The sequence below is a fragment of the Homo sapiens genome, chromosome X (genome assembly GCF_000001405.40).
Source record: "Homo sapiens chromosome X, GRCh38.p14 Primary Assembly".
Classification (NCBI taxonomy): domain Eukaryota; kingdom Metazoa; phylum Chordata; class Mammalia; order Primates; family Hominidae; genus Homo; species Homo sapiens.
Window position 1 is genome coordinate 121,202,278 of NC_000023.11, and position 8,515 is coordinate 121,210,792.

The following is an 8,515-nucleotide window of genomic DNA, read 5'->3' on the forward strand; positions in this document are numbered from 1 at the left end:
TATCTGGGATGAAACACACTTGATCATGGTGAATTATCTTTTGGATGTGCTGTTGGATTTGGGTTGCTAGTATTTTGTTGAGGATTTTTTGCATCTACATTTTTCAGATATTGGCCTGTAGTTTTATTGTTGTTGTCGTGTCCTTTCTTGGTTTTGGTATCAGTGTGATACTGGCTTCATAGAATGAGTTAGGGAGGAGTCCCTCCTTCTAAGTCTTTTGAAATAGTTTCAGTAGGATTGGTATCAATTCTGCTTTGAATGTCTTATAGAATTCAGCTGTGAATCCTTGTGGTCCACCTGGGCTTTCGTTGTTGTTGCTGTTCTTGGCAGTGGTTTTTTTTTTTTTAATTACTGATTAAATTTTACTGCTTGCTATTGATCTGTTCAGAATTTCTATTTCTTCTTGATCAAAGCTTGGCGGATTGTATATTTCCAGGAGTTTATTCATTTCTTCTAGATTTTCTGGTTTATGTGCATAGAGGTTTTCATAATAGTCTTGAATGATCCTTTGTATTTCTGTGGAGTCAGTTGTAAAGTTTAAAGTTTACCATTTCATTTCTTTTTTTGCCAATTTTAAATAGTTTTATTTAAGACATTGCATTTTTCCATGTACAATAGTGTTTATAAAGTGCAATGTTATATCCTTCCCCTGTGCATATGTTCCATATTCAAGCATTAGGAATGCCCAGTAACTTACTATAGCAGCTGAACTTTTAAAAACTGCCACAGAATTTGCTACAAATTTAGGTCCTTCAATGTTTTAAATGTGTGGAACAATGCTACATCTATACTTGGGTTGGCTTAATCAACCTCTTCAATGGTGGGCCCTGAGGAAGCACCACCAGAGGGAGGAGCTCCACCACCAGGGAATCCCCCAGGCATTCCTCCTGGCATGCCTCCTGCACTCTGGTACAGCTTGGTAATGATGGGGTTTCAGACTTTCTTCAGCTCTTTCTGCTGATGTTCAAATTCTTCCTTCTCGGCAGTCTGATTCTTATCGAGCCAGTTGATAATTTCATTATACTTGTGCAGAATCTTGTGTTTGTCCTCATCGTTAATCTTGCCTGGAAGTTTCTCATCTTTGAGAGTTGCTTTCATGTTGAATTCACAGGAATCAAGTGAGTTCTTGGATGACACTTTCCCTCTGCTTCTGATCTTCAGCTTTGTACTTCTCAGCTTCCTGGACCATATATTCAATGTCTTCCTTGCTCAAATGGCCCTTGTCATTAGTGATAGTAATCTTGTTCTTTTTTCTTGTACTCTTGTCCACAGCAGAAACATTGAGGATGCCATTGGAATTAGTGTCAAAAGTGACTTCAATCTGAGGAACACCTCGGGGTGCAGGAGGTATGCCTGTGAGTTCAAACTTGTCAAGCAGGTTGTCGTCCTTGGTCATGGTATGCTCACCTTCATAAAGCTGAATAAGCACACCAGGCTGGTTGTCAGAATAGGTAGTGAAGGTCTGTGTCTGCTTGGTAGGAATGGTAGTATTATGTTTGATGAGGTCAGTTATGACTCTACCAGCAGTTTCAATACCAAGGGAAAGAGGAGTGACATCCAAGAGCAGCAAATCTTGAACATTTTCAGACTTGTCTCCAGACAGGATGGCTGCTTGGACAGCTGCACCATAAGCAACAGCTTCATCAGGGTTGATGCTCTTATTCAGTTATTTTCCATGGAAGAAGTCTTGGAGAAGCTTCTGAATCTTGGGGATATGAGTAGAACCACCAACCAGGGCAATATCATGAATCTGTGACTTGTCTAGTTTGGCATCTCGAAGGGCTTTCTCTACCGGGTCCAGGGTGCTAAGGAACAGGTCAGCATTCAATTCTTCAAATGAGGCACAGGTACTGGAGGTATAGATGTCGATTCCTTCAGAGAGAGAATCGATCTCAGTACTGGCATGGGTGCTGGAAGAGACAGTACTCTTAGCACGTTCACAAGCAGTACGGAGGCGTCTTACAGCTCTCTTGTTCTCACTGATGTCCTTCTTATGCTTGCGCTTGTACTCAGCAATAAAATGGTTGACCATTCGGTTGTCAAAATCTTCTCCACCAAGTGGGTGTCTCTGGCTGTAGATTTGGCCTCAAAGATTCCATCCTCAATAGTGAGGATTGACACATCAAAAATGCCACTTCCCAGGTCAAAGATCAGCATGTTTCTTTCTGCTCTAACCTTTTTGTCTAAGCTGTAAGCAATAGCAGCAGCAGTTGGCTCATTAATAATTCTAAGTACATTGAGACCAGCAATAGTTCCAGCATCTTTGTTAGCCTGACACTGAGTCATTAAAGTAAGCCGGCACTGTGACCACAGCATTGGTAACAGTCTTCCCAAGGTAGGCTTCTGCAATTTCCTTCATCTTTGTCAGAACCATAGAGGACACATCCTCTGGATAGAAGCTTTTGGTCTCTCCCTTGTATTCTACTTGGACCTTAGGCCTGCCAGCATCATTCACCACCATGAAGGGCCAATGCTTCATAGCAGACTGGACAACAGCATCATCAAATCTGTGTCCAAACAGACGTTTGGCATCAAAAACCGCGTTGGTGGGGTTCATTGCAACTTGATTCTTTGAGGCATCACTGATCAATCGTTCAGTGTCCATAAAGGTGACATAGCTTGGAATGGTTCAGTTTCCCTGATCATTGGCAATTATCTCTACTTTTCCCTGATGGAAAACACCCACACAAGAGTATGTGGTGCCAAGATCAATACCAACTGCAGGTCCCTTCGACATGGTTGCTGGCATGTAGGCCTGGCTCCAACGATGAAGAAAGTCACAGGAACCCTGAGAGCTGCAGGCAAGCTCAATGAGCTACAGTTTCATTTCTAATTGAACTTATTTGAATCTTCTCTCTTCTTTTCTAGGTTAATCTAGTTACTGGGCTATGCATTTTCTTTATTTTTTCTAAGAACCAACTTTATGCTTTATTCATTTTTTTGCTTTCAATCTCATCAGAGATATTGGCTGATGTGTGTGTGTGTGTTTTCTTTTTGATGTAGCTTGTTATCAGGGTAATACTGGCCTCGTAGAATGAGTTTGGAAGTATTCCTTTCCTCTATATTTCAGAATAGTTTGAGTAGGATTGGTATTAGTTCTTCTTTAAATGTTTGGTAGAATTCAGCAGTAAAGCTCTTGAGTTCCAGACTTTTCTTTACTGGGAGTCTTTTTATCGTGACTTTGATCTTGTTACTTGTTATTGGTCTGCTCGCATTTTAAATTTCTTCATGATTCAGTCTTGGTAGGTTGTATCTGTCTAGAAATGTTTCCATTTCCTCTAGATTTTCCAATTTTTTGGCATATACTTACTTATAGGAGCCATTAGTGATCCTTTGAATGTCTGTGGTATCAGTTGTAATGTCTCCTTGTTTTATCTCTGATTCTATTTATTTGGGTCTTCTCTCTTTTCTTAGTCTACCTAAAGATTTATCAATTTTGTTTAACTTTCCAAAAAAGCAAATTCTGTGTCATTGTCCTTTTGTATTGTTTTCTTCTTTAAAATTTCATATATTTTTGCTCTAATCTTTAATATTTCTTTTCTTCTACTGGTTTTGGGTTTGGTTCACTCTTGCTGTCCTCGTTCTTTAAGATAGACCATTAGGTTGTTTATTTAAAGGTTTTTTTCTTTTTTGATGTAAGCAATTATAGCTATAAACTTCCCTCTGAGTCCTGCTTTTGTTGTATCCCATAGCTTTTGGTCTGTTGCGTTTCCATCATCATTGTTTTCAAGAAATTTTTAATTTTTTTTCGTAATTTCTTCATTGACACCCTGGTCATTCAGGAGCATATCATTTACTTTCCATGTATTTTTATAGTTTCTAAGGTTCCTCTTGTTATTGATTTCTAGTTTTATTTCATTCTGATCAGAGAAGATGCTTCATATTTTTTCCATTTTTTTAATGTTTGAAGACAAATTTTGTGACCTAACGTGTTCTCTACTTGAGAATGATCCATGTGCTGAGGAAAAGAATGTGTATTCTGCAGCTGTTGGATCAAAAGTTCCTTACATATCTATTAGGTCCATTTGGTCTATAATGCAGATTAAGTCCGATTTTTCTTAGTTGATTTTTTGTCTGGGCGATCTGTCCAGTGTTGAAAATGGGGTGTTGAATTATGCAGCTATTATTGTATTGGGGTCTGTCTCTCTCATTAGCTCTAATAATATTTTCTTTATATATCTGCGTGCTCCAGGGTTGGGTGCATATATATTTAAAATTGTTATATCCTTTCACTGAATTGACATCTTTATCATTATATAGTGACCTTTTTGGCTTTTTAAACAGGTTTTATCTTGAAATCTAATTTTTCTGATATAAGTATAACAACTCCTGCTCTTTGTTTATTTTCATTGGCATGGAATATCTTTTTGCATCTCTTTATTTTTATGCTATGTGTGTCTTTATAGGTGAATTGTGTTTCTTGTAGGGAACAGATTGATTGGTTTTGTTTTTAATCCATTCCATCACTCTATGTCTTTTGATTTTAGTGTTTATTCTAGTTACATTCAATGTTATTATTGATTAGTCAAGACTTACTTTTGCCATTTTGTTGTTTTCTGGTTGTTTTGTGGTCTTCTCTTTCTTCTTTCTTTTCTTCCTGTCTTCCTTTTAGTGAAAGTGATTTTCTCTGGTGATATAAATTAGTTTCATGCTTTTAACTTTGTGTGTGTTGTATATTTTTTGGTTTCAGATTACGATGCGGCTTGTAAACACAATCTTATAACCCATTATTTTAAGCTAATGAAAACTTAACACTTTGCATAAACAAGGAAACAAGCAAAAAGACAACTGATAAAGGCTCTACGTCGTAACTTCATTCCCATACTTTTTAACTTTTTGTAGTTTTCATTTATATCTTATTGCTCTATGTCTGTAAAGTTTTTTGTGGTTATTATTATTATTATTATTATTTGAAATGGAGTCTCACTCTGTCGCCCAGGCTGGAGTGCAGTGGTATGACCTCAGCTCACTGCAACCTCTGCCTCCCGGGTTCAAGTGATTCTCCTGCCATGGTTCATTGTTTAGTCTTTCTACATAAGATGAGAGTAGTTTACACACCGCAGTTACAGTGTTACAGTATTTTGTGTTTTTCTGTACACTTACTATTGCCAGTGAGTTTTATACTTTCAGATGATTTCTTATTGCTCATTAATTTTCCTCTCTTTCTGATTGAAGTACTCCCTTTTACATTTCTTGTAGGACAGGTCTGATGTTGATGAAATCTGTCACCTTTTGTTTGTTTTGGAAAGTATTTATTTCTCTTTCATATTTGAATGATAATTTTGCTGTATATACTATTCTAGGGCAAATTTTTTTTCTTTAGCATTTGAAATATGTCATGCCACTCTCTCCTGACCTAAAAGGTTTCCACTGAAAAGTCTGTTGCCAGACGTTTTGGAGCTCAATTTTATGTTGTTTCTTTTCTCTTGCCAATTTTAGGATCCTTTTAAAATTCTTGACCTTTGGGTGTTTAATTATTAAATATCTAGAGGTAGTCTTCTTTGGGTTAAATCTGCTTTGTGTTTTATAACCTTCTTGTACTTGGATATTGATATCTTTCTCTAGGTTTGGGATGTTCTCTGTTATTATCCCATTGTATAAATTTTCTACCACTATCTCTTTCTCTACCTCATCTTTTAGGCCAATAACTCTTTAATTTATATTTTGAGGCTATTTTCTAGATCCTGTAGATGTGCTCATTGTTTTTTATTCTTTTTTCTTTTGTCTCCTCTACCTGTGTATTTTCAGATAGCCTATTTTCATTCCCACTAATTCTTTCCTCTGCCTGATCAATTCTGCTATTAAAAGACTATAATGCATTCTTAATTATGCTACTTCCATTTCTTCAGTATTTCTTCTTGATTCTTCCAAATTATTTTGATGCTTTGTTAAATTTGAGTGACAGAATTCTGAATTCCTTCTGTGTGTTTTCTTGAATTTCTTTGAATTTTCTCAACACAGTTATTTTGAATTCTCTATCTGAAAGGTCACATATCTCTTGTTTCTCCAGGATTGGTCCCTGGTGCCTTATGTACCTCATTTGGTAAGGTCATGGTTTCCTGAATTGTCTTGATAGTTGTAGATATTCCTCTGTCTCTGTACATTGAAGAGTTAGGTATTTCTTTTAGTCTTCTCAGTCGCAACTTGTTTGTACCCACCCTTAGTGGGGAGGCTTTTCAGATATTTGAAATGACTTGCATGTTGTGATGTAAATTCTATCTGAATTTGGCAGCACCCCAAACCCAGTAACACTGTGATTCTTGCAGACTCATAGAGGTATTGCCTTGATGGTCTTGGACAAGATCCAGAAGAATCCTCTGAATTACCAGGCAGAGACTTGTTTTCTTCCCTTTCTTTCTCCCAAACAAATGAGATCTCTCTATCTGCTGTGAACCACCTGGAGCCAGAGGTGGAGTGACACAGGCAGCCCTGTGGCCACCACCACTATGACTGTTCTGGGTCAGAACATCACTGGTTCTTGCCCAAGGCTTATTGTAACCACTTCCTGTCTACTGCCTATGTTCACTTTAGGCCTTGGGGCTCTACAATTAGCAGGTGGCAAAGCCAGTCGGGCCTATGTGTTACCCTTCAGGGCGACAGGTTCCCCCAGGCCTTATATGGTCCCAGTGGTGCCATCTGAGTGCCAAGGACTAAGGTCAAAAATATTAGAAATCTACCTGGTGTTTTTTTGTACCATAACTTAGCTGGTACTCACACCACTAGATGCGGTCCTTCCCACTCTTTTCTCCCCTTTCCAAAGGCACAGAACCTCACCCTGTGGCCACTGCCACCTCATATCCACGGTGATGACTGCCAGACTACTACCGATTTTCCCTTAAGTCTCAAGGACTCTTCAGTCAGCTTGTTGTAAATGCTACCTGGCTTGGGACTCACCTTTCAGTGCAGTGGGATCTCCTGTGGTCCAGGCGAGTTTCAGGAACCAAAGCCAAGGCCTGGAATTGGGGGCCCCAGGAGCCCACTCTACTTTTCTGTGGCTGACCTGGTACCTAAGGTGCAAGACAAAGTCCCCTTTACTTTTCCGCAGAAGGAATCTTGCCCCATAGCCACCATATTTGGGAATATGCTGAGTCTCACCTGAAGCCAGCAAGTCTCACCCAAGCGCCTCAATGTAGTACCTAGGTATCACTGCTGGTTATTGAGGGTCCAAGGGCCCTTCAGTTAGCAGGTTATCAATCCTGCCAGGACTGGGTGCTTCCTGTCAAGTCAGAGTGTTCCCTTTTGGCTGGGTGTGTGCCTATAAGTGTCGTCCAAGATCTAGGGCCTGAAAAGGGGGCCTCATGACCCTGATCAGTGCTCTTTTCTGCTCTGACTGAGCTGGTATTCAAGATTCAAGACAAAGTCCTTCCCACTCTTCTCTCTTCTCTTTTCAAGCAGAGGAAGAGGTCTTTTGTTGTTGTTGTTGCTGCAAGCTGTGAACCCTGGGGTTAGGCAAGGGGTGATGCCAACACTTTCTTAGCTACTCTGCCTGGTGTCTCAGTAGACCATGTGTTCCCCCAGTCCACTCTCCCTGGGCCAAGTTCAGCACTAGGACTCACCTAGATGTTGCAGTTCTTGTGGCCTCGATGGATTCCCCTCTGGCTAGGGCTGGTTTAAATACTGTGATATGGTTTGATCTGTGTCCTCACCAAAATCTCATGTTGAATTGTAATCCCCCAGTGCTAGAGATGGGGCCTGATGGGAAGTGATTGGATCATAGGGGCGGATTTCTCATGAATGGTTTTGCATCATCCACTTGGTACTGTCCGTGTGATAGTGAGTGAGTTCTCATGAGATCTGGTCATTTAAAAGTTTGTGACACTTTTCCCCTTTCTCTCTCACTCCTGCTTCCACCAAGTGAAATGCTTGCTCTTGCTTTGCCTTCTACCATGGGTAAAAGCTCCCTCCAGCCTCTCCAGAAGCTGTCATGCTTCCTGTACATCTTGCAGAACCATGAGCTAATTAAACCTCTTTTCTTTATAAATTACCCAGTCTCAGGCATTTCTTTATAGCAATGTGAATGGACGAATAGATGTTCCTTCCATGGACAGGCATTAGCTGTTTGGTCCAATTTTGTTTTTTATTATAATAAGGCAGCACTGAGTTCAATTCCTCACAATTGCTGCAGTCTCCCTCTCCTCAGGACACAAAAATGCTCTCAACACCACACTGTCACTGCCAAGGTATGGGAGACAGGTGGCATCGGTGATTCAAAACTGTTTTTCCTACCTCTGTAGTATATATTTCAGTGACATGAAGTTAAAACCAGGTACTGTGAGTGTTTACCTGATTTTTGGTTCTTATGAATGTGCTTTTTTATGTGTGTAGATAGCTGTTAAATTGGTGTCCTTTGTGAGGAACAATTGGTAGATCTTTCTATTCCACCATCTTGTTCCACCTCGACTCTGAAGTATGTGTCTTATAGGAAGCATATAGTTGGATTTTGTTTCTTTATCAATTCAGTCACTCTATGCCTTTTAATTGGAGAATTGAGTCTATTTATATTCAATATTATTAT

General features: G+C 39.5%; 1 pseudogene; it reads right to left on the reverse strand.

Annotated features, from left to right (window-relative positions):
• On the reverse strand, positions 566-2,815 carry HSPA8P1 (heat shock protein family A (Hsp70) member 8 pseudogene 1; annotated as a pseudogene).